The sequence below is a fragment of the Homo sapiens genome, chromosome 4, assembly GCF_000001405.40.
Source record: "Homo sapiens chromosome 4, GRCh38.p14 Primary Assembly".
Classification (NCBI taxonomy): domain Eukaryota; kingdom Metazoa; phylum Chordata; class Mammalia; order Primates; family Hominidae; genus Homo; species Homo sapiens.
Genome location: NC_000004.12, coordinates 149,666,187 through 149,692,964, shown reverse-complemented (window position 1 = coordinate 149,692,964; position 26,778 = coordinate 149,666,187). Strand labels below are relative to the sequence as shown.

Sequence of the window (26,778 nt, the reverse complement as noted above, 5' to 3'; positions counted from 1 at the left end):
TTCCTTTTGCTTAACTTCATTGTAAAACCTCTAAGAATTCATCACTTTACCTCTGTTTTTTTGCCCTGGTCTCCCTTTTGGTCTCTCTTTGAATGAGTATTCTAATCAGAGGTTATTTATAATTTATATTTCAGAACTGAAATTCTAGTTTGGTGGAATTGGTTTAGCTACTAGATTTTACATAAGCAATAGTTAGAAATTCAGAGATGTTATAATTGGCCTAAAGTCACACACTAAGTCTCAGTTGCCATCTAAAGGTTTATCTGCAGCAATGTTAGATTTTCATATGTTTTAATTGCCTTTTTAGAGATCTCCTTTAACTCTATATACTACTTTTTAAAAAGTATATCTGCATTTATTTTGTATGTTGGATGCAGTCCTAATATGACTTAGCTCAATGGTCTATAGAGGGCTTTTAGTTTAGCACTTAAAAGGATTATACCCAAAGTATTTAACAGTTTTTTTTCTCTAAAATAGACATATCTTTTTCTTAATTATTGTATTAACACAAGCTCATTATAAAGATTTAAAAAATACATACATATATAGGATTGAAAGGGAAAGTCCTAACAATACTACATTTTCCACTTCCTTCCAAAGATAGATACTGTTGATGGTCTTAGTTTGGTGTAATATTAGACAAGAAAGGTTGCGCTCTGTTGAGTAACAAATGAACCCTAGATTCTCTGTCACTTCATGTTTCATAAAGACTTATTTTCCCCCTACATCAATCACAGTGTGATAGACAGTTTACCTTATAGCTCCACCATTTGGTGCACAGGCTCCCTGGGGCACTGTGGCAGGGGAAGAGTGGACTTCAGCCCATGTCTGGTAGTGGCTCACACCTCATGTACTCACATCTCATTGGTTAGAGTCTAATTACATGTCCTCAAAGTAATTTTAAAGGGGTATGGAAAATATAGGGGAGCACATGGATAATTTGGTGAGTACTAATTGTCTCTGCTGTAGTGTACATTCTTCCATATCTTTCCTGTGCATTTGCAAATAAATAAACCAAGATACACATATATGTTGTATGTTTTAAGCATAGATGTGTATTTTTACAAACGTGAATTCCTCATTAGTGAAAATTTAGTTTCATAATGTTGCTTTCAAAATAATATTATCCTTAAATAATACCTTCACTTGTGAACTTCATCATATCCTTCCTAGGTATGTAGTGAACCTGTTCCCTGCTCATGTATTCAATTCCAAGTGTATTCAGATGTGAGTATCTGTAATCTCTTGATCTATATTGGCTCCTTTCCTATCTGACTTGAAAACCTCCTGCCTTGAAAAATAAAACAACAACAAAAATTTCACTAAATCCTAATGCTTTCTTTAGCTTCTGTGATTGTCTTTCTTTCATTGCAAGGTTAACTTCTTTACCATTGCTGTAAAATTTCACTCTTTATATCTCCAGATTGCCCCTCCCATCACCTTTGCCCCATCCTTTTCCTCCTTCACTTTTCTGCAGTGATTTTCACTGTTATGCTGTCCATTGAAGGTAGCAATAGTGCTTTATTAACCATTATACTCTACACTGCTCCCCTCCCAGGAGTTAGCATAGCAATTTTTACTAAGTAGATACTCTATAAATAAGTACAGTAAACAAACAGGAATATTGAGCAGCAGAGTGATTAAGAATTCAGGTTCCAGGGGCTATCTGCCTGGGTTTGAATATCATCTCTACCTATTGCTAATGGTCTAATCTTGGGGAAAATAATCACACCTCTGCTTTCATTTCCTCATCTGTAAAATGGAGATAGTAATAGTACTTAATCTATGGGATGTCTCTAAGAATAAAACATGATAATCCATATATAGCAATTAGCACATTTGGCATATGGCAAATATTTTAATGTTTCTATTTTTAAGACTCAAACTTAAAAATTCTCCTTTACCTTAATATGATATCACTTAACATACCACGTGTCTTTATATAAAGTGTGTCCTCTGAGCTTTATAGTTACCTTCTGAAGTAAACAAGGCAGAAATTACCCACTTTTACTGATGAATCCCCTGAAGTTCCAGGGGGCAGTGTAGAGCACAGTAAAAAATAATGGAGTCCTGGCTCTGTACCTTCCAGGTTAAAGGATCTTGGGAAAGTTGCTTCTCCGAGTAAACAGACTAATCACAGTACTTTACAAAAACAAAAACAGAACAAAACTGTTGAAGCTTACATGAGATAATTCACAAGGAATGCTAACCAATACCTTATAAATACAGCCTTTGCTCGGTATCCTTGGGGAACTGGTTCCAGGACTTACCCTACCTCCATCATTCCAAGATCCGAGAATGCCCAAGTTCCTGATAAAATGTGTAGTATGTATTTGCACATAATCTATGCACATTTTCCCATATGTTTTATTTCTTAAAATGTATTTACTTTTTCTATATGTTATTGGGGTATTGGTGGTATTTGGCTACAAGTTAAGTTCTTTAGTGGTAATTTGTGAGATTTTGGTGCACCCATCACCCAAGCAGTACATGCTGCACCCTATTTGTAGTCTTTTATCCCTCATCCCCCTCCCACCTTTCCCCCCAAGTCCCCAAAGTCCATTGTATCATTCTTATGCCTTTGCATCCACATGTCTTAGCTCTCACATTTCAGTGAGAACATATGATGTTTGGTTTTCCATTCCTGAGTTACTTCACTTAGAATAATAGTCTCCAATCTCATCCAGGTTGCTGCAAATGCCATTAATTCATTTCTTTTTATGGCTGAGTAATATTCCATTGTGTGTGTGTATATACATGCATACACCAGTTTCTTTATCCGCTCATTGATTGATGGGCATTTGAGTTGGTTCTATGTCTTTGCAATTGTGAATTGTGCTGCTATAAACATGCATGTGCAAGTATCTTTTTCGTATGATGACTTCTTTTCCTTTGGGTAGATACCCAGTAGTGAGATTACTGGATCAAATGGTAGTTCTACTTTTAGTTCTTTAAGGAATCCCCACACTGTTTTCCATACTGGCTGTATTAGTTTACATTCCCACCAGCAGTGTAGAAGTGTTCCCTGATCACTGCATCCATGCCAACATCTGCTGTTTTTAATTTTTTGATTATGGCTGTTCTTTCACATTGTGGTTTTGATTTGCATTTCCCTGATCATTAGTGATGTTGAGCATTTTTTCATATGTTTGTTGGGCATTTGTATATCTTCTTTTGAGAATTGTCTATTCAGGTCCTTAGCCCACTTTTTGATGGGATTTTGTATTTTTTTCTTATTGATTTGTTTGAGTTTGTTGCAGATTCTGGATATTAGTCCTTTGTCAGATGCATAGATTGTGAAGATTTTCTCCCACTCTGTGGGTTGTCTGTTTACTCTGCTGACTGTTCCTTTTGCTGTGCAAAAGTTCTTTAGTTAATTAAGTCCCAAATATTTATCTTTTTAAAATTTTTATTTTTTATTATTATACTTTAAGTTCTGGGGTACATGTGCAGAATGTGCAGGTTTGTTACATAGGTATACATGTGCCATGGTGGTTTGCTGCACCTGTCAACCCGTCATCTACATTAAGTATTTCTCCTAATGTTCTCCCATCCCCCACAGGCCCCATAGTGTGATGTTCCCCTCTCTGTGTCCATGTGTTCTTATTGTTCAACTCCCACTTATGAGTGAGAACATGCAGTGTTTGGTTTTCTGTTCCTGTGTTAATTTGGTGCAGATGATGATTTCCAGCTTCATCCATGTCCCTACAAAGGACATGGACTTATTCCTTTTTCTGGCTGCATAGTATTCCATGGTGTATATGTACCACACATTCTTTATCCAGTCTATCACTGATGGGCATTTGGGTTGGTTCCAAGTCTTTGCTATTGTGAACAGTGCCATAATAAACATAGGTGTGCATGTGTCCTTATCTTTGTTTTTATTGCATTTGCTTTTGGGTTCTTGGTTATGAAATCCTTGCCTAAGCCAATGTCTAGAAGGATTTTTCCACTGTTATCTTCTAGAATTTTTATAGTTTCAGGTCTTAGATTTAAGCCCTTAATCCACCTTGAGTTGATTTTTGTATAAGGTGAAAGATGAGGATCCAGTTTTTTTCTCCTAAATGTGGCTAGCCAATTATCCCAGCACCATTTGTTGAAAAGGGTGTCCTTTCCCCACTTTGTTTTTGTTTGCTTTGTTGAAGATCAGATGGCTGTAAATATTAGGGTTTATTTCTGGGTTCTCTCTTCTGTTCCATTGGTTTATATGCCTATTTTTATACCAGTACCATGCCGTTTTGGTGACTATGGCCTTATAGTATAGTTTGAAATCAGGTAGTCTGATGCCTCCAGATTTGTTCTTTTTGCTTAGTCTTGCTTCGGTTATGCAGGCTCTTTTTGGTTCCATATAAATTTTAGAATTGTTTTTTAAAAAATTCTGTGAAGAATGATGGTGGTATTTTGATGGGGATTGTGTTGAATTTGTAGATTGCTTTTGGCAGTATGGTCATTTTCACAATATTGATTCTACCCATCCATGAGCATGGCATGTGTTTCCATTTTTTGTGTCATGTATGATTTCTTTCAGCAGTGTTTTTTAGTTTTCCTTGTAGAGGTCTTTTGCCTCCTTGGTTAGGTATATTCTTAAGTATTTTATTTTTTGTTTGCAGCTATTGTAAAAGGGGTTGAGTTTTTGATTTGATTTTCTGCTTGGGCACTGTTGGTGTATGGAAGAGCTACTGATTTGTGTACATTAATCTTGTATCTGGAAACTTTGCTGAAATTTTTTTATCAGTTCTAGGAACTTTCTGGAGGAGTCTTTAGAGTTTTCAAGGTAAATGATCATATCTTCAGCAAACAGTGACAGTTTGACTTCCTCTTTAGAGATTTGGATGCCCTTTATTTCTTTCTCTTGTCTGATTGCTCTGGCTAGGACTTCCAGTATTACATTGAAGAGGAATGGTAAGAGTGGGCATTCTTGTCTTGTTTCAGTTCTCAGAAGGAATGCTTTCAACTTTTCCCTATTCAGTATTATGTCGGCTGTGGGTTTGTCATAGATGGCTTTTATTACATTGAGGTATGTCCCTTGTATGCTGATTTTGCTGGGAGTTTTAATCATAAAGCGGTGCTGGATTTTGTCAAATGCTTTTTCTGCATCTATTGAGATGATCATGTGATTTTTGTTTTTAATTCTGTGTATGTGGTGTATCACATTTATTGACTTGCATATGTTAAACCATCCCTGCATCCCTGGTATGAAACCCACTTGATCATGGTGGCTTATCTTTTAGATATGTTGTTGGACTCAGTTAGCTAGTATTTTGTTAAGGATGTTAGCATCTATGTTCATCAGGGATATTGGTCTGTAGTTTTCTTTTTAGTTATGTCCTTTCCTGGTTTTGTTAGTAGGGTGATGCTGGCTTCATAGAATGAATTAGGGTTCACTCTTTCTCTATTTTGTGGAGTAGTGTCAGAATGATTGGCATCAATTTCTTCTCCTGTACTTTAAATCATCTCTAGATTACTTATAATACAAAATGCTATGCAAACTCTATGCAAATAGCTTTCCTACTATATTGTTTTTAAATTTATATTATTTTTATTGTATTGTATTTTTAAATTTTTTTTTTCTGAATATTGTCAATCTGTGGTTGGTTGAATCTGCAGATGCAGAACCCAAGGACACCGAAGGCCGACTGTAGTTAATCAATATTGATATTCTGTTTTCCATTTCTACAAAAATGTTATGTTCTCTGAACGTACATTTTGAATATACGTTACATAATTCAGTCTAATACGCTCTTCTTTTTGATGACATTGAGATCCATCTAGCCTGTAATTTTCTAAAGCAGAGGGTTTCGTCTCATGTGTTCTGTATCTTTTATTAATAATATATCTGAGCTAGTAGCTAGAAGGTGCTCAATAGTTACCTGATAATATTTTTGTTATAATATTTCAAACTATATATTGGTCCCATTATCTGTGGACAATAGAAAGTAATGAGTATTTTAAAAATACTTATGTAAATTTCTCTTTAGACTTGAAGAAGTAGATTTTTTAAAAAGTAGAACCTTTGCCTTTTGTGAACTTTAGTCTTACTCTATCAAATAATGAGATTTCTGGAGCACTTTGTGTTCCTATTTATAGGAACTAGAGATTTGCCAAATTATTTTAAAATAGCAGCCCCTTCTGTAAGAACTAAGCTTTGTGATGATAATGATTATAATAATACTGATATGTATAAATGAGGCTGTTTGTATTCATCGGTATATGCTATGCTGTTGCAGCCATTTCTCTGAGAGCAATCTCCTTTCTGATATATGTAGTTCATTTGCACTATAATTTTCAGTCCTAAAGTTTAGTAATTGCAAAGCATCTGAGTAGCATGGAGTGAAGAAAACTACTCAGCTGTGATTTTTAGTATCTCTGTGTTAGTAACATTTTAAAAGATTATAGCTCTTGTTATTAAAAATCTGTGATTTGCAATTGAATTTGAAAAATGCACTTACAACTTGAAAACTAATAGTATGCAATTAAAACTTTAACAAAATTTCAGGACAAGTTAAATTGGATAAAATCATGACTATTATTGAACCAGTGAGTAAAAAAATGGAGACAGCAAAGCAACAGCACTTTGAGGAGTCCAGGTAATGTATAATTAGCTAACCTATAGAAAATATATATTTTCTTCTACTTTGCCAATATTCCCTGACCAATTGTCATGGTCTCTCAAGTTTTTCTATTAACACCCCATACATGAAGCTAATTTATTGTTCCGCTTGAGTTCCTCAAAGCATATCAATTATCAAAATTTTTGTTTTCAGTTCAATTAACTTTTGAACTGGAGGATGTCTGAGTAGTTAAGTAAACCATCTGGGTTTTACAGTGCATAAGCTTGAATCCAATTTGTGGCTTTCCTGGGGAAAAAAATGCCATATTTTATGATAATATTACATAAGTTTAGAATTTTAATAACTCATCTGCAGCAATTATGGAGCAGAGTAAGTTATAATTTTCCTTTCTAAATCTAATAATTAAAGGTTAGTCTTTCTAACAGAAGGTGACACTGGTTCTACAGAACATAGTTTGAACACAGGAATTCTGAGCATTGCCTCTGCTTTCCAAAAGTGTCTGGAGATGGGTCAGTTCCTTTTCTGAATTATTGCATGAAATAGCATCACCATCTTCAAGACAACTTTAAAATTACATACACAATAGTTGGTGCTGAAGCTATAGATAGAACCTCTAAGCCCTTCAGCACATATTTGGTAAGAACATTTATACTTACAGACAGTAAATACTTCTCTGCTAAAATATATTTTTCAGTAGCTTGTTTTACAATAATTCATTGATATTATAACATGGTCAGAAATTTGGGGTAATTGGCACAGCTACAAGTTAGTTGAGGAAATGCTGGCAAGGCTATGAAGAACTTTATGGGTCTTCCAACGTTTAAGTTGTGAGCTATGTGCTTAACACTAGAAGATCCATGCTCAGGGTAACCACTTTCTTGGCTTAAGTGTCATACAATACTCAGATTTGAAAGAGTGAAATATATACACAGCCTTAATACTAAAGGTTTGGTTATACCCATGATAAGGGAAGATATTAATTACAAAGGAAAAGAAATTATTATATTGGAAATTTACTAGTTTTTATAAATTTCTTCTCTGCCTTTGAGTTACCCATTTTAACTCAAGATCCAAATTGGTCTAGCAAATTGGTAGCTCCTAAAAGAGTAGTTAATATAGCAATTTAGCCAAATTGTTTAGAATTTCAAGTCAGCTTTTACTAACTGAAAAGGTTAACTGATTTGAAAATCATTTTCAGTATCTTTAGATGAGGCTGGTAAGCCATGGCAGAATAATAATGTTTTAGGGACAAGTGAAGCACTTATTAATAAATCTGATCAGGTATAATATCTTTCAGTATAATGTCTTTCTTAAGAGAGTTGACTATTTTCCGAAGAATTGTTTCTTCTGCAACTGGTAGAAGATAAAGGTCCCTTGACACCCTAACTTCCTGTTTTTAATGAAAACATATCCTGCTTAATGAGGAAGATCAACATCCTTTGAAATTAAGAGCAAGTGCATGTACTTCCAGTGACAGCTCAGGGCATGTAAAGCCTGAGCTTCAATACACCTGGGCTGCCTTGTCTTTATTTATAGCTAGTTGATGGTGGTAACTTGTTTCCTACTTTAACAGTTAGCTTCATTTCATTAATGTTAAAAGTGTGATGGGAATGCAGGGGGAAAGACAAATAAGTGCTTTGGGACGTGGTGACTAAGGATTTTTGGAAACCTGTGCTTAACTAGACAAATAGAATGTCATTAGGCAAAAATTTTTTTTGAAATCGAGTTCACCACATAATGAAGATAAGGAAACAGCAATGAGAATATAAGCAGAAGAAAAGATAATATAATCAGTTGGGAAATTAGATATGAGATTGTTAACAATGCAGGGACAGGCTCTAGGACTAATTAGTATGAATGACCCAACTCTTTATGAAACTCCCAAAAGGTTTTTGTTCAAGTTAATTAGACCCCTGTGAGAAAAGTTGTATATAAACAACTTATAATTATCCTGAAGATGCCTTGAAAAATGCTGATTGTTAAGATGACTCTAATACTTTTGGGATGACTATTGAAATATTGGCCCAACAAAAGAAATTTCCTTGAGCAAAACATGAATATGATCAAATCTTTTAAATATATGATTTCTTCCCTTTTCTAAACTTGTCTATTTTTGACCTGTGGTGGGAAAACACAATTGAATACTGTTACAATTTCAATATAAGTTTAAGAAGGTAAAGTTCTTCAGTGTACCTTTGAATTCTAAATTCAAAGATTTCCCTACATTAAAATACTCTTTATGATGATGATAGATATGGGTTCATCCTAAATTTTAATTTCCCATCAACAAAATGCATTTATTAATCACTTATTTACTAGTGCTAATTTTTAGTTGATATTATTTGGTGCATTTGAAGTTATGACAACTGCATTTCAGTAAATGCATTCTGTAATTTAGGCAAGTGAGCCTGGATTTCTTTGCCCAGTTTTGTGATCAGTGAGTTTCCTGTGTTACATGACAATTCATGTTTAGGTTGTTCTGATCAATTTCATAACAGAATGAGGATATTATAAAATAATGATAGAATCCCTCCTGGCATTTCACATTTGTGTGAAGCAACTGCCATTTCATCTTAATGTCTGTAAAATATTTTGCTTCAGTGGTTGAATGGTCTACTTCCATTAGAATCTTTCATTAGTCAGGAACAATTGAAAATACATAATTAGTTCTAACTTGGAGATTAAATAACACTTATCCATTGACTAGATATTAGAAAGCAAAGGAAATTATGCCTGATCAATGAAATTTGACCCCATTCTTGGTGATATATAAAAACGTTATAGAATTTCAAATGGAATTTTATAAAACTGACTGCATACTCACGTCTCTCTATTTTCTCTTGATACAACTTAAGGGATACCTCAGTCCTTTGGCCAACTCTGTGGGCATGACCACATGAGTGACAGTCAAATTAATAGATCGTATCATTAGTTATTTCTTTACTATCTATTGAGTGCCTACTATGTGCCAAATGTGAATCTCTGAAGAGTCCCCTCTTTCATAGACCATGCTGCTTTCTAGGCAAATGTTTTAAAATTCTAGAAATTTATGTAAGATTTATATAATTTTCAAACCAACATTTTAATTTCTAGGCATTTATAGTAACACAAGGAAATACAGGTGCACAAATATAAATGTTCAAAGATTTTCATCCTTGTTTATAAACAACAAAAAAGCAAAACCAACAAATATATCCCACAGAAGAACACTGGTAAATAAGCGATCAGTATGTTAAAATCTATACAATGAATTTCTATGTAATGGGCCAAAATAACATGGAAATCTATGTAATGGGTCAAAATAACAATGTGCACCTTTGTACATTTATAAAGAAAGATCTCTGTGATATATTAGTGCAAAATAATAGTATAAAATTTTGCGTGCATTTATGTACACTTAAACAGAGAAAAGGAATGAAATATATTCCATATGCTAATCATGTCGAATGGAATCAGTATAAAATAGTAATATGGTTCCTGAAGTCCCACTGACTGAATTTGAGTCCTGACCCCACCCATTTCTAGCTGGAATAATCTGAACTGTATACTGCTGAACCCCTAAATGTCTTAGTTTCTTCATTTATACAATGAGCATCATAATAGTAAGTACCTACATGCTTGTTTTGAAGAATAAATCAGGTAAAACATATAAAAAGGATTAGAATAGTGCCCTAAATGCTGGCCTATAGGAAGCATTGAAGGGTTTGCAATTATTACTAAAATATCAGGGTAATAAGATTAGGGGAGATTTTTATTTTCTTTCTTTTTTTCTTACTCACATTTTCCAAAGTTTCTATGTGATACTTGACTTTATTCAGCTGTTGAGATTGAAGCTCTCTCAATCATGTTAGGAAAACATGCTACTCAAAAATCTCTTGCAAAACACTGAAGAAATAGATAGATATGATGCTTGTTCATTTTCCTGATTTTTGCTAGTTTGGGCTCATTTGGAAAGCAAATGTTCCTATTTGTTATTCGTCTCAGAACCAGCAAAATTTCGTAGTATTTTGTCTTTGTTTAATAATATTTACTCTGCAAGGCACTGAGGGAACAACAGGTGTAGTCCTGTTGACCAGAGACAAGTGGTTTTCTATGATTAGCATTTAGTCCATAACTTTAGTGTTGAAGATTTGTATTACAAAATAGGGACTATCAAATTACTTAAAGATCCAACTTAATGTTTCAGAAACAGAATGTTGGAATTACTCTATCCCTTTCCTGTCCATCTTTACTTACAACCTGGGACCTCTAACTTGGAACTTCTGAAAGAACCTGGTGAGTCTTATACATAAATGTTGGTAGCAGCACATTGATTTTCATTATTTTGCATTCATTTAAATGCAAAAACAAAGAGCTAGTATTGAACAGAGTTATTTCCTTTATTTTCATTTCAAACACTGTATCAAAGATAAGCAGATTTTGGAAACAACTACTAATAACTAGTTTTCCATGCCTTTATCTGAAATTGAGAGACTGGATTTTTAAAAATATGAATATTGCAGGTTGTAGTAAATTATAAAGACAAAATTTGTAATTTTAAAAGTTTATTTACAGTTGAGTTATTGTTGTTTTTAAAAAATACATACAATTCTTTAAAAGAGAATATAGATGATTCTTTAAAGTCCCTTAAATGTGATCGAGGAACTCTCTGGAACTTGAACTGCTTAAAGACCTAGGGGGCTATTGATTCAAAGCAACTATTTTTTAGTTTTCCCGCTTTTTAACTTGTTCCTCATGAGCTTCAGGCTGTCATTAAGGTAAAACTCTTCTTGTAAAGTAGGACTTTTATTGATTTCAGAAGAAATTTTTAAAAATTTGCTGAATAAACTCTTCCTTGGGTTCTCAAGGCACTTTTGCATATAATATCCTTTATAATTTTACCACCTTTTGTTTGGATTATTATAGAAGGAACTGAAGCATTAAGTGGAAGCTCACTTCCAAACAAATTCTATGAATCATGTTTTCATGATTCCAATCAATATTCACCAAAACTAAAATTTGTGAATATGCTGTCAAAATGTTGAAGATATGCAATAGATGTATTTTACAATTTTGATTGTTACATTGGTTCAGAGCTTAAATTCTTTTAAGGCTTTATTAGATAATTTGAGGTCCCAGGGCAATACAATAATGTATGGGTCTCAACTGATTCTAAAATTGAATATACATGTGTGGAAGTAAATGTAGGCAAATATTTATACAAGGCTAGGGTCTAATGGGTGTAATAAATAATACTCTTGAAATCTGATCTCCTTGAAAGCTGTGTTCTATAGCTCTTTACCATCAGTTAAAGTTCTACTAATTCTGTGACATTTAGAATTTATTCAGGATGATCAAAAGGTTTATGAACGCCTCAGTCTTCAAGTATCATTCACCTCACATGGGTCAGTTGTGTCATCATCTTGCAGAGGAACTTTTTAGCTCTTTGAAGGACTTGGCAATTCTCATAGCTTTAGTTTGGATGTTGAAATTCATTTAAGTCTTATTTTTCTGTATTTATGGAGCTTATATACAGGAGCTAGACCATAGTTTATTTAATGCTAAACAAGAGTAGAAAACTTTTCTAAAATATTTTAGAGAATCCTGGTTATTAGCTACAGATTATTATGAAATTGTGAATGGAAAAGGCTGGCAGAATTGGTAGTCACCCATGTGATAAGTTTTGAAATTTGCTAAAGGTTCTACCCATGCAGAAATGTTCTGCTGAATTGTGAAATGTTTATTAATTGAACCATAACTTCATAGAAGCTAAAAGACTCCTTATACTTATTCCAGTGCATGACACATACATAGTAGGTGCTAATAACCATATGTTAAATGAATGAACAAATGTAAATTAAAAAGGAAAAACCACCCAATTGAAGTATACTTCAGTATTATCTGTGCACCTGTCTCTGCACATTAGGCTAAAACTCAATAACTGTTAAAGAAAAAAAGAAATTGAGAAAATAAAATACTAGATACTATTTTTTACAGTTCTTTTTAAAAACTGATTATACATAGACTGCAGAGATACCAATCAAAATAAACAAAATGTTATGCAGTTTAGTTTATATGCTTTAAAAACAAATTGTTGAGATTATTAGTTTTATGATATTATAAGTATCTCAATACTCATATAACTTCATGGAGAATTGGAAGGTTGAATATGCTGAAAAAGTAAAAAGTTTTACAATTAAAATCATTCTTTCCAAATGCTATAGAGTAGGTGTTCTTTTTTCCTTTAAAATGAAATGTATCTTTAATCAGATAAGAATAGGGATTTTCACTGATTTGTTATTTAGGAAGTTTTTATTTTATTTTCAGCCACAACATTCTTTTATAATTACATATTTTTAAAGTAAGGCTAGAAATATCTGAAAGATTATGGCCACCAACTTATTTTGTGTAAGCTATTAGTAAAATGTGAAAAATGTTCATTTTTTTGGAATAATTTAAGAGTGGTCCACACTTTGTGTCTTTCGTGAAAAATAATGAATACTTTTTATGGTTGTTAATTTTTTTGTTCATGTTAAGGCTATAGTCTAAAAAGTCTGCACAAAAAAGCTTATTCTCCACATCATTATTATAACTCTACATAATAATTTATAGCTTCAATGAATATCTGACATAATCATTGAGGTCTATTTAACAAGATAATATATAAATAGTAAAAAATGTAGATATAGCAGTTTTCCCTGGGGTATATGGTAACCTACTGGACTCAAATTATCACCCAATTCTTTTTTTTTTACAATTCATGCATAACACATGTACATAGTTTGGTGATACACATGATTATTTAATACATTCATGTAATTTGTAAAGATCAAATCAGTTCTTGGGATGTCCATCACCATAAATATTTGTCTTCTCTTTATGACAGAACCATTTCCATTCTTCTCTTCTAGCTATTTTGAAACATGCAATAGATTATTGTAAACTGTAGTTACCCTGCTGATCTATCTAACACTAGGTCTTATTTCTTCTGGCAACCCATATATTTACATCTTATTTTCATCTTTTCTCCTCCCTGCCCTTCATGGCCTCTGATAACCACAAATCTACTCTTTGTCTTTGAGATTAACTTTTTTTTTGCTTTCACATATGAACGAGAACACACAATATTTATCTTTCTGTGCTTGGCTTACTTCACTTAACAACCTCTAGTTCCCTCCATGTTGTCACAAATGACAGGATTTCATTCTTTTTTATGGCAGAATCATATTTCATTGTGCATAATATGTGTCACATTTTCTTTACTCATCTGTTGATGGGCACATATGTTGATTCCATATTTTGTCTGTTGTGAATAGTGCTACAATAAACATGGGAATGCAGATGTCTTTTTGATACATTCATTTCCTTTTTAAAAGATATATACCCAATAGCAGAATTTCTGGATCATACGGTAGTTCTAGTTTTAGCAATTGTAAGGAAACTTCATACTGTTCTGAATAATGTCTGTACTAATTTCCATGCCCACTAACAGTGTTTAAGGTTTCTCTTTCTTCATATCATCAGCATCTTTTATTGCCTGTCTTTTTGATAGAAGCCATTTTTAACTGGGGTAATATCATACTTCATTGTAGTTTTGATTCACATGTCTCCATTGAGCATTTTTCATATGCCTATTGGCCATTCGTATGTCTTTTTTTGAAACATTGTCAATCTCTTAACAGGTCAATCTAGCTATTATTGTTGTTGCTAGATTTGTCTTTAGGACTTCATACTAGATTTATTTATTAGTGGATTGCATACAACAATTATATTATTATAGTATTCTGGGTTTGTCCTTGTACTTAATTTTACCAGTGGGTTTTATAACTTCCATTTTTTAAAAACACATTAGTGTCTCTTTCTTTTGGATTGAAGAACTTCCTTTAGAATGTATTGTAAGATGGGTATTGTGGTAGTGAATTACCTCCACTTTTGCTTGTCTGGGAAAGAATTTATCAGTTTTTTATATTAGAACTGTAGTTTGTTGAATACAGTATTCTTAGCTGGCAATAGATTTTCTGTTTCAGCACTTTGAAAATGTTATTCTATTTTCTCCTGGCATGTATGATTTCCATTGAGAAGTCTGTTGCCAGATTAAATGGAGCTTTTTTATGTTATTTGCTTTTTTTCTCTTGTTGCTTTTAGGATTCTTTCTTTATCCTTGACCTTTGAGGGTCTGATTATCATATGCCATGGAGTAGTCTTATTTGAGTCAAATCTGTTTGGGGTTCTCGGACCTTCCCTTACCTGGATATTTATCTTTAATCAAGTTTTGGAAAGTTTTCTGTTATTTCCTTGAATAAGCTTTCTACCCTTTGCTCTTGCTGACCTCCCTCTTAAGCACCAATAATTCTTAGATTTGGTCTTTTGAGGTAATTTTCTATATCTTTTAGGTGATCTTTCTTGCTTTTCATTCTTTTTTCTTTTTCTTCTCCATGTATTTTCAAATAGTCTGTATTTGAGCTCACTAATTCTTTGCTCTTCTTGATCCTTTCTGTTGAGAGCTTCTAATGAATTTTTCAGTTCAGCAAATATATTTATCAGTTTCTAGATTTCTGTTTAATTTAAAAAAATTATTTCAATCTCTTTGTTAAATTTCTCTAATAAGTTTTCTGGATTGTTTTCTTGTGTTATCTGGGAGATCACCAAGTTTCTTTAAAACTACTATTTTTGGTTCTTGGTCGAAGAGCTCACCAATTGCTGTTTCATTAGGGTCAGTTGCTAAATCTTTGCTTTGTATGCTTGGGGAAATCATGGTTCCCTGTTTGTGGTTGTTACTTGTGGATGTACATCTATGTCTTTGCATTGTAAGATTAATTTGGTCTTATTTAATTATTATTTTATTTATTGTTGTCTTCTCTGTCTTGCTTCTTTTATTTTTTTATTGGATATATTTGCTTATAGGTTCTTTACTGTCAGGCAACTGCCTCCTTTTCAGTTCTAGATGGCACCTTAAGCCCAGATTTGTCTCAGCTCTAGCAAGTGTTTGGAGTGCTACTCTTCCCAAGTGCAGGAAGTCCCAATGGGGATACCTCAGCAGTGGGATAGGCTGGCAAAGGTTTGTGCCCATGCTCCTGGAGTGTGATGCTGCTTAAAAGCCACTCTTATTTGGCCTTTGGCCAAGTTGTAGAGCAGTTTCCAGAGCTGGAGATAGTAGTCCTGCATCCCTACTTTGTCTCTACCTGTCCTCAGGGATATTTCTCCTTTCAGGCACTAATGATGCTTCTTATGGGCCAGGGGAGGGACAGATCTCCTGTCAGAGAACCCAAGATGGTGAATAAGCTCTTCGTTCACTTTGATCTCACTTTTCCAGTGTCAAAACAGTGATTTTGGGGAGTATTTTTTGCATACTTGGTGCCAGGAAGAATGTGGAGTGAGGCATTGTGGATGTGCCAATTTTCTTACTGCCTACATGAAGTTTTTTCACTTTTTTGTGGCCCCAAGAACTGACTTGTGTTCATAATTTTTGTGTTTGAATTCTGGTATATTTCTGGTAATAATCTTGGCACTGTATATTTGTTTATGGTTTTCTAGGGGGTTATGCTAGCTTGCTTCTCTGCTGCCATTTTGGAACTGGAGGTCCTCAATTCTTCTTTAGAATAAAGAATTATTCTTATTAAAGGAAAAAGAAAAGGATATTAGAACATAAGATATAAGGCAAGTTATGATTTCTATCCGTTTGCTTAAAAAATTATCTATCTATTTCCTTTTGAAGCCTTGCCTTTTAAAGCAGTATGGTATAGTGATTAATAGTGACAGCACTGAAGTTACTCTAATTAGGTTAGAATTCTGGCTTTGCCAGTTTCTAGCGTCAAATCTTATCCAAGTTACTTAATTGCACTGTGACTCAATTTCTTCATTGGGTAGAGGGGGGATAATACCAATTCCAACCTCAAAGTGTTTAGATAATGCTTGTCAAGTGCATAGTGTACCTCCTGGTGCTTAATAAAATTGAGCTACCATAATTAGTCGCAACTTCCTACATTCATATAAATTTTAATGCATAATATACTAAAAAACATGTTGTTTGATTACTTAGCTTTGGTCCTGTCCTAAAGGACATATTACTGTAATCACAAGACATACCCCATCACAACATTGACTGACTTTCGCTATCACATTGTGAATTCAGGAAGTGGAAGTGAGGTTTATGGTCTTGTGTAAATACAATAACTGTAGCCCTTCGTGGAGTCTGCTATTTTTGCTATTGTCACTGTTATCCTGCTAGAGACCTTGACTCTGCCTTTTGCTCTTCTATTTTGATACATTTGGTAGGTCACTCTTAAATTGATATTCCTCAAGTGTTCATTTTACTGATCATTGTAAAGCTTTTGTAAGGAAACAGACCCATGGCAGAAACAGAAACTCTTTTGTTAAGAGAAACACTTTAAGAGACTTTTTCAAAAGAAAAAAAGCTAATAATGCTCTACATAATAACCAACTCTCTGTGTGGCCTGGCGCAAACCTCTTCAAAGCTCTGGGCTTAGTTTCATCATCTGTAATCCTCAAGGAAAGAATGAAATGGCCCTCAAAGAGATAAAAAGTTAGAAAATTTCCTCTTTCTGGATGGCTGCTTCTCAGATATTAAAAACATCTCTACATAGTCATTGGCAGGAGAGAGGAGGGATCCCCTAAAGTCAGCTCCTGGCAAGATTCTTTATTTCTCTCTACTTGCCAAGTTGACAGCCTTCAGACTCTTAAGACGGATCTCATTATGTATTTAAGCTGTGTCTACCTCAGTCTCCACAAGACACCTAGGACTTCCAGGGTACCTGCGATCACTAAAACCCCACTCTATATAATTTTGTATATCTTCTTTTCTGATGTCACCCCTCAAACCTCCCACTCCTGAAATTCATCCATTATGCTCCCTGAATTCATAGCCAGCAAAAACTCAGAATCCTTAACCTCATCTGAATGTTTCCTTCCCCTTCCTGGCCTAACTGAAACCTGTGCCCTGAAGACATTTCTTCCCCTGCCACCCTTTCAGGTGGTGCTGGTTTTTTTTCCTCCCATGTCTCATACCTCTGAGACTGGTGGTGGGGTGGTTTCCTCCTTGCTCCTCATTGCTGTTTCCAAACCATTCTCCCTTTGTCTTCCCTAGCATGCTCAGCTTTGAATCTCATGTCATCAAACTATATCCTCTCCTTATAGTAATCTATTGATTTGTATCTATTCTTGCATATCTTTAAAGAAATGTAGACCCTGGATCCTTGTCAATTTCTGTAACACTAATCTTTTCATAGTTTTTGGTGATATTTATCTTGGATAGATATCATATTTTAATCCATTCACTTTTCTACTCCTTGAGCTCTTTTCCTCCCATGATTTTGCCCTCCATCATAATACATACATTCTCCAATAGTTATGGTCTAGAAATACTTCCAAATTACAACAATCTTTGTAATACTTCCAAAATCTCACTTTGAAGAGCACTACTGTTTAACCAGACCACCTATATGCTGACAATTTTTAAAATTCCTACTGGGAGCCTGAGGCTCCCGGTGGTTACAGTAGGCCCAGATATCAAGTTTTTAATTTCTTCTCTAGCTAAACAACACTCTCTTGTAATTTTATCCAGATCATGGCTTTAAGTACCGTTAATAGGCTGATGATTCCACAAGTTTATCTCCAGACTGGTTATTCTCCAAAACTCCAGCTCATGTTCAACTGCTTAATTAAGGTTTCCACCTGGATTTTTAATTTTTAATAGGCATTTCCAACCTAACATGTCAAACTCAGGAACTGTGTATGTGTTGTTCTCTCTGCCTGGAAAGGTTTTTTTCTTTGGAGATTATAGGCATCAATCCATCACTCTTTTCATGCTTCGCCCAAAGGCCTCTCTAACAGTAAGGCCATCCCTGACTACTCTGTCATAGGCATAGCCACATCCTCCAGACCTATCTACTTCTCTTTCTTTGATTTCTAGCATTTACGATATCAAGATATACTGCCTATTTTACTTATCTGGTATTGTTTGCCTCCTCCTGCTAGAATATAATCTCCATAAAGGCAGTTAGCATTGACTGATTTGTTCATACTAAATCCTTTAGAATAATGTCTGGCACATAAAAAGGGCTTACTATATTTTGTTGGATTAACTAAGATACTGGCATTTTATTTTGTAAAAGTGTTGTACCAATTATCATATTTTTTCTACTTAATGAGGAAAGTTACCTAATTTATTAGAATAAATATTTTCATCTGGCTCTAAGGAGCTCAAGTATGCTGTTTTCATTTTTAATAAAAAATACACCGGAAAAAATCATCAGTGTGTTTTTGTTTCATTGTATCTTTTTCTGAGAATATGGTGAACAACTCTGCAAAGAAAGACTTCTGAGTACAGAATACTTAATAATGCTGCTTAAATATGAAAAAATAATTTTTAAAACCTGACCAAACTGGCAAGAAAGTGTAAATAATTAAATTCAGAAAATAAAAGAAAGCTATATTACACAGGGGTTTAAAGTTCTTTAGAGTTTGCTTTCATGGCTCATACGTATTTCTGGTGGCCTAGAACTCTCCTAGGAATAAAAACAACAACAAAAAACTTAGCCTTTTTTGGAATAAGTGCGAAGTGGTTCTGAGAAGAATGTATATTCTGTTGATTTGGGGTGGAGAGTTCTGTAGATGTCTATTAGTTCCGCTTGGTGCAGAGCTGAGTTCAATTCCTGGATATCCTTGTTAACTTTCTGTCTCATTGATCTGTCTAATGTTGACAGTGGGGCGTTAAAGTCTCCCATTATTATTGTGTGGGAGTCTAAGTCTCTTTGTAGGTCTCTAAGGACTTGCTTTATGAATCTGGGTGCTCCTGTATTGGGTGCATATATTTTTAGGATAGTTAGCTCTTCTTGTTGAATTGATCCCTTTACCATTATGTAATGGCCTTCTTTGTCTCTTTTGATTTTTGTTGGTTTAAAGTCTGTTTTATCAGAGACTAGGATTGCAACCCCTGCATTTTTTTGTTTTCCATTTGCTTGGTAGATCTTCCTCCATCCCTTTATTTTGAGCCTATGTGTGTCTCTGCACGTGAGATGGGTTTCCTGAATACAGCACACTGATGGATCTTGACTCTTTATCCAATTTGCCAGTCTGTGTCTTTTAATTGGAGCATTTAGCCCATTTACATTTAAGGTTAATATTGTTATGTGTGAATTTGATCCTGTCATAATGTTAGCTGGTTATTTTGCTCATGAGTTGATACACTTTCTTCCTAGCATCGATGGTCTTTTCAATTTGCCATGTTTTTGCAGTGGTTGGTACCATTTGTTCCTTTCCATGCTTAGTGCTTCCTTCAGGAGCTCTTGTAAGGCAGGCCTGGTGGTGACAAAATCTCTCAGCCTTTGTTTGTCTGTAAAGGATTTTATTTCTCCTTTACTTATGAAGCTTAGTTTGGCTGGATATGAAATTCTGAGTTGAAAATTATTTTATTTAATAATGTTGAATATTGGCCCCCACTCTTCTGGCATGTAGAGTTTCTGCCGAAAGATCTGCTGTTAGTCTGATGGGCTTCCCTTTGTGGGTAACCCGACCTTTCTCTCTGGCTGCCCTTAACATTTTTTCCTTCATTTCAACTTTGGTGAATCTGAAAATTATGTGTCTTGGGATTGCTCTTCTCGAGGAGTATCTTTGTGGTGTTCTCTGTATTTCCTGAATTTGAATGTTGGCGTGCCTTCCTAGGCTGGGGAAGTTCTCCTGGAAAATATCCTGAAGAGTGTTTTCCAACTTGGTTCCACTCTCCCTGTCACTTTCAGGTACATCAATCAGATGTAGATTTGGTCTTTTCACATAGTCTCATATTTCTTGAGGGCTTTGTTAGTTTCTTTTTACTCTTTTTTCTCTAAACTTCTCTTCTCACTTCATTTCACTCATTTGATCTTCAATCATTGATACCCTTTCTTCCAGTTGACCGAATCAGCTACTGAAGCTTGCGCATGCGTCACGTAGTTCTTGTGCCATAGTTTTCAGCTCCATTAAGTCATTTAAGGTCTTCTCTACTCTGTTTCTTCTAGTTAGCCTCTTGTCTAATCTTTTTTCAAGGTTTTTAGCTTCTTTGCAATGGGTTCGAACATCCTCCTTTAGCTTGGAGAAGTTTGTTATTACCGATCGTCTGAAGCCTTCTTCTCACAACCTGTCAAAGTCATTCTCTGTCCAGCTTTGTTCCGTTGCTGGCGAGGAGCTGCGTTTCCTTGGAGGAGAAGAGCCGCTCTGATTTTTAGAATTTTCAGCCTTTCTGCTCTGGTTTCTCCCCATCTTTGTGGTTTTATCTACCTTTCGTCTTTGATGATGGTGATGTATAGGTGGGGTTTTGGTGTGGATGTCCTTTCTGTTTGTTAGTTTTCCTTCTAAGTCAGGACCCTCAGCTGCAGGTCTGTTGGAGTTTGCTGGAGGTCCACTCTAGACCCTGTTTGCCTGGGTATCACCAGCGGAGGTGTAGAACAGCAAATATTGCAGAGGGGCAAATGTTGCTGCCTGATCCTTCCTCTGGAAGCTTCGTCTCAGAGAGGCACCCATAGTTGGAAGTAAAGCACTCCTCAGCAAATGTAAAAGAACAGAAATTATAACAAACTGTCTCTCAGATCACAGTGCAATCAAACTAGAACTCAGGATTAAGAAACTCACTCAAAACTGCTCAACTACATGGAAACTGAACAACCTGCTCCTGAATGACTACTGGGTACATAACGAAATGAAGGCAGAAATAAAGATGTTCTTTGAAACCAATGAGAACAAAGACACAACATACCAGAATCTCTGGGACACATTTAAAGCAGTGTGTAGAGGGAAATTTATAGCACTAAATGCCCACAAGAGAAAGCAGGAAAGATCTAAAATTGACACCCTAACATCAGAACTAGAAGAACTGGAGAAGCAAGAGCAAACACATTCAAAAGCTAGCAGAAGGCAAGAAATAACTAAGATCAGAGCAGAACTGAAGGAAATAGAGACACAAAAAAACCCTTCAAAATATCAGTGAGTCCAGGAGCTGGTTTTTGAGAAGATCAACACAATTGATAGACAGCTAGCAAGACTAATAAAGAAGAGAAAAGAATCAAATAGACACAATAAAAAATGATAAAGGGGATATCACCACCAATCCCACAGAAATACAAACTACCATCAGAGAATACTATAAACATCTCTACGCAAATAACCTAGATAATCTAGAAGAAATGGATAAATTCCTGGACACACACACCCTCCCAAGACTAAACCAGGAAGAAGTTGAATCCCTGAATAGACCAATTACAAGCTCTGAAATTGAGGCAATAATAGCCTACCAACCAAAAAGAGTCCAGGACCAGATGGATTCACAGTCAAATTCCACCAGAGGTACAAATAGGAGCTGGTAGCATTCCTTCTGAAACTCTTCCAATCGACAGAAAAAGAGGGAATCCTCCTTAGCTCATTTTATGAGGCCAGCATCATCCTGATACCAAAGCCTGGCAGAGACACAACAAAAAAAAAAAAAAGAGAGAATTTTAGACCAATATCCCTGATGAACATTGATGTAAAAATCCTCAGTAAAATACTGGCAAACCGAATCCAGCAGCACATCAAAATATTTATCCACCATGATAGAATTGGCTTCATCCCTGAGATGCAAGGCTGGTTCAACATACGCAAATCAATAAATGTAATCCATCATATGAACAGAACCTAAGACAAAAACCACAACATTATCTCAATAGATGCAGAAAAGGCCTTCAACAAAATTCAACAGCACTTCATGCTAAAAACTCTCAATAAACTAGGTATTCATGGGACATATCTCAAAATGATAAGAGCTATTTATGACAAACCCACAGCCAATATGATACTGAATGAGCAAAAACTGGAAACATTCCCTTTGAAAACTGGCACAAGACAGGATGCCCTCTCTCACCACTCCTATTCAACGTAGTGTTGGAAGTTCTGGCCAGGGCAATCAGGCAGGATAAAGAAATAAAGGGTATTCAATTAGGAAAAGAGAAAGTCAAATTGTCCCTGTTTGCAGATGACATGATTGTATATTTAGAAAACCCCATCATCTCAGCCCAAAATCTCCTTAAGCTGATAAGCAACTTCAGCAAAGTCTCAGGATACAAAATCAATGTGCAAAAATCACAGGCATTCCTGTACACCAGTAACAGACAAACAGAGAGCCAAATCGTGAGTGAATTCCCATTCACAATTGCTTCAAGGAGAATAAAATACCTAGGAATCCAACTTACAAGGGATGTGAAGGACCTCCTCAAGGAGAACTACAAACCACTGCTCAACGAAATAAAAGAGGACACAAACAAATTCAAGAACATGCCATGCTCATGGATAGGAAGAAACAATATTTTGAAAATGGCCTTACTGCCCAAGGTAATTTATAGATTCAATGCCATCCCCATCAAGCTACCAATGACTTTCTTCAAATAATTGGAAAAAACTATTTTAAAGTTCATATGCAACCAAAAAAGAGCCCACATTGCCAAGACAATCCTAAGCCAAAAGAACAAAGCTGGAGGCATCATGCTACCTGACTTCTAACTATACTATAAGGCTGCAGTAACCAAAACAGCATGGTGCTGGTACCAAAACAGAGATATAGACCAACAAAACAAAGCAGAGCCCTCAGAAATAATACCACACACCTACAACCGTCTGATCTTTGACAAACCTGACAAAAACAAGCAATGGGGAAAGGATTCCCTATTTAATAAATGGTGCTGGGAAAACCGGCTAGCCATATGTAGAAAGCTGAAACTGGATCCCTTCCTTACACCTTATACAAAAATTAATTCAAGATGGATTAAAGACTTAAATGTTAGACCTAAACCCATAAAAACCCTAGAAGAAAACCTGGGCATTACCATTCAGGACATAGGCATGGGCAAGGACTTCATGTCTAAAACACCAAAAGCAATGGCAACAAAAGCCAAAATTGACAAATGGGATCTAATTAAACTAAAGGGCTTCTGCATAGCAAAAGTAACTACCATCAGAGTGAAAAGGCAACCTACAGAACGGGAGAAAATTTTTACAATCTACCCATCTGACAAAGGGCTAATATGCAGTATCTACAAAGAACTCAAACAAATTTACAAGAAAAAATCAACCCCATCAAAAAGTGGGCAAAGGATATGAATAGACACTTCTCGAAAGAGGACATTTATGTAGCCAACAGACACATAAAAAAATGCTCATCATCACTGACCATCAGAGAAATGCAAATCAAAACCACAACGAGATACCATCTCATACCAGTTAGAATGGCGATCATGAAAAAGTCAGGAAACACAACAGGTGCTGGAGAGGATGTGGAGAAATAGGAACACTTTTACACTGTTGGTGGGACTGTAAACTAATTCAACCATTGTGGAAGACATCTTCTATCAGTTGAGTAAGTGTTTATAAAGATATGTTTAAATTGTCAAAAGTATTGCTATAAAGTTGTTAATAATAACATCTGTAGTGATATCTCTTTATTCTTGATATTGATTATTTAGGTACTTGCTCTCTATCTCTCTCACTTTTCACCCCTTTCTCCTCTTTCTCTTTGGAGAATTTTGCTGAAGTACTCTCAACTTTATTTTCTTCTTCTTTTAAAAGCCAACTTTTAGTTTTGCTGATTTTCTCTATATCACATTGCTATGTACTGGTATTTCTTCCTGCTCTTCACGTTGATCAGCTCTGACCAAACACTTTCTTTGAAGTCCTAATATTTGTTATTTAATTTTACTTCAGCATTTACTTATAATAATTCACATTTTCTTTTATTTAATTATTATACTTTAAGTTCTGGGAAACGTGCAGAATGTGCAGGTTTGTTATATATGTATACATGTGCCATGGTGGTTTGCTGCACCCATCAACCCATCATCTACATTAGGTATTTCCCCTAACGTTATCCCTCCCCTTGCCCCCCGCTGCCCTGAGAGGCAATGTTGATGGTCTTTACATTGTGGTATGTGTTTGCAGTGGCTGGTACCAGTTTTCCTTTCCATATTTAGTGCTTCCTTCAGGAGCTCTTGTAAGGCAGGCCTGGTGGTGACAAAATCTCTCAACATTTGCTTGTCTGTAAAGGGTTTTATTTCTCCTTCACTTATGAAGCACGGTTTGGCTGGATATGAAATTCTGGGTTGAAAATTATTTTATTTAAGAACGTTGAATATTGGCCCCCACTCTCTTCTGGCTCGTAGGGTTTCTGCAGAGAGATCTGCTGTTAGTCTGATGGGCTTCCCTTTGTAGGTAACCCGACCTTTCTCTCTGGCTGCCCTTAACATTTTTTCCTTCATTTCAACTTTGGTGAATCTGACAATTATGTGTCTTGGGATTGCTCTTCTCGAGAAATATCTTTGTGGTGTTCTCTGTATTTCCTGATTTTGAATGTTGGCCTGTCTTGCTAGGTTGGGGAAGTTCTCCTGGATAATATCCTGAAGAGTGTTTTCCAACTTGATTCCATTCTTCCTGTCACTTTCAGGTGCACCAAACAAATGTAGTTTTGGTCTTTTCACATAGTGCCATATTTCTTGGAAGCTTTTTTTGTTCCTTTTCATTCTTCTCTAATCTTGTCTTCATGCTTTATTTCATTAAATTGATCTTCAATCTCTGATGTCCTTTCTTCTGCTTGATTAATTCGGCTACTGATACTTGTGTATGCTTCACGAAGTTCTTGTGCTGTGTTTTTCAGCTCCATCAGGTCATTTATGTTCTTCTCTAAACTGGTTATACTAGTTAGCAATTCCTGTAACCTTTTATCAAGGTTCTTAGCTTCCTTGCATTGGGTTAGAACATGCTCCTTTAGCTCCAAGGAGTTTGTTATTACCCGCCTTCTGAAGCCTACTTCTGTCAATTTGTTAAATTCATTCTCTGTCCAGTTTTGTTCCCTTGCTGGGGAGGAGTTGTGATCCTTTGGAGGAGAAGAGGTGTTCTGGTTTTTGGAATTTTTAGACTTTTTGTGCTGGTTTTCTCATCTTCATGGATTTATCTACCTTTCCTCTTTGCTGTTGGTGACCTTCAGATAGGGTTTTTGTGTGGTTGTCCTTTTTGTCGATGTTGATGCTCTTCCTTTCTGTTTGTTAGTTTTCCTTTTAACAGTCAGGCCCCTCTTCTGCAGGCCTGCTGGAGTTTGCTGGAGGTCCACTCCTGGCCCTGTTTGCCTGGGTATCACCAGCAGAGGCTGCAGAACAGCTAAGATTGCTGCCTGCTCCTTCCTCTGGAAGCTCCGTCCCAGAGGGGCACATGCCAGATGCCAGTCAGAGCTCTCCTGTATGAGTTGTCTGTTGACCCCTACTGGGAGGTGTCTCCCAGACAGGAGGCATGGGGGTCAGGGACTCACTTGAGGAGGCAGTCTGTCCCCTTAGCAGAGCTCAAGTGCTGTGCTGGGAGATCTGCTGTTCTTTTCAGAGCTGGCAGGCAGGGACGTTTAAGTCTGCTGAAGCTGTGCCCACAGCTGTCCCTTCCCCCAGGTGCTCTGTCCCAGGGAGATGGGAATTTTATCTTTAAGACCCTGACTGGTGCTGCTGCCTTTCTTTCAGAGATGCCCTGCCCAGGGAGGAGGAATATAGAGAGGCAGTCTGGCTACAGTGGCTTTGTGGTGCTGTGGTGGCCTCCACCCAATCTGAATTTCTGGGCAGCTTTGTTTACACTGTGAGGGGAAAATGCCTACTCAAGCCTCAGTAATGGCAGACACCCCTCCCCCCACCAAGCTCTAGTATCCCAGGTCAACTTCAGCGTGCTGTGCTGACAGCGAGAATTTCAAGCCAGTGTATCTTAGCTTGTTGGGCTCTGTAGGGGTAGGATCCACTGAGCAAGACCACTTGGCTCCCTGGCTTCAGCCCCCTTTCCAGGGGAGTAAACGGTTCTGTCTTGCTGATGTTCCAGGCACTACTGGGGTATGAACAAAAACTCCTGCAGCTAGCTCGGTGTCTGCCCAAATGGCCGCCCAGTTTTGTGCTTGAAACCCAGGGCCCTGGTGGTGCAGGCACCCAAGGGAATCTCCTGGTCTGTGGATTGCAAAGACCATGGGAAAAGCGTAGTATCTGGGCCAGATAGCATCATCCCTCACAGCACAGTTTCTCATGGCTTCCCTTTGCTAGGGAAGGGAGTTCCCTGACCCCTTGTTCTTCCTGGGTGAGGCAACATCCTACCCTGCTTCTGCTTGCCCTCCCTGGGCTCCACCCACTGTGTAGCCAGTCCCAATGAGATGAACCAGGTACCTCAGTTGGAAAAATCACCCACCTTCTGCATTGGT

At 36.2% G+C, this 26,778-nt stretch overlaps 1 protein-coding gene across 16 annotated transcripts in view; it reads left to right on the top strand.

Moving 5' to 3' along the window:
- Positions 1-26,778, top strand: part of IQCM (IQ motif containing M) — a 464,135-nt gene that overhangs the window by 122,879 nt on the left and 314,478 nt on the right. For 12 of the 16 annotated variants that reach the window (XM_017008904.3, NM_001363507.2, XM_017008902.3 and 9 more), the window contains 2 exons: positions 6,497-6,587; positions 10,759-10,847. In XM_017008904.3, the coding sequence (XP_016864393.1) occupies positions 6,520-6,587; positions 10,759-10,847 (157 nt within the window). In that variant the 5' untranslated portion in view covers positions 6,497-6,519. The remainder of the gene's footprint in view (positions 1-6,496; positions 6,588-10,758; positions 10,848-26,778) is intronic. The other 4 variants (NM_001378180.1, XM_047450076.1, NM_001378184.1 and 1 more) reach the window with 1 other exon arrangement.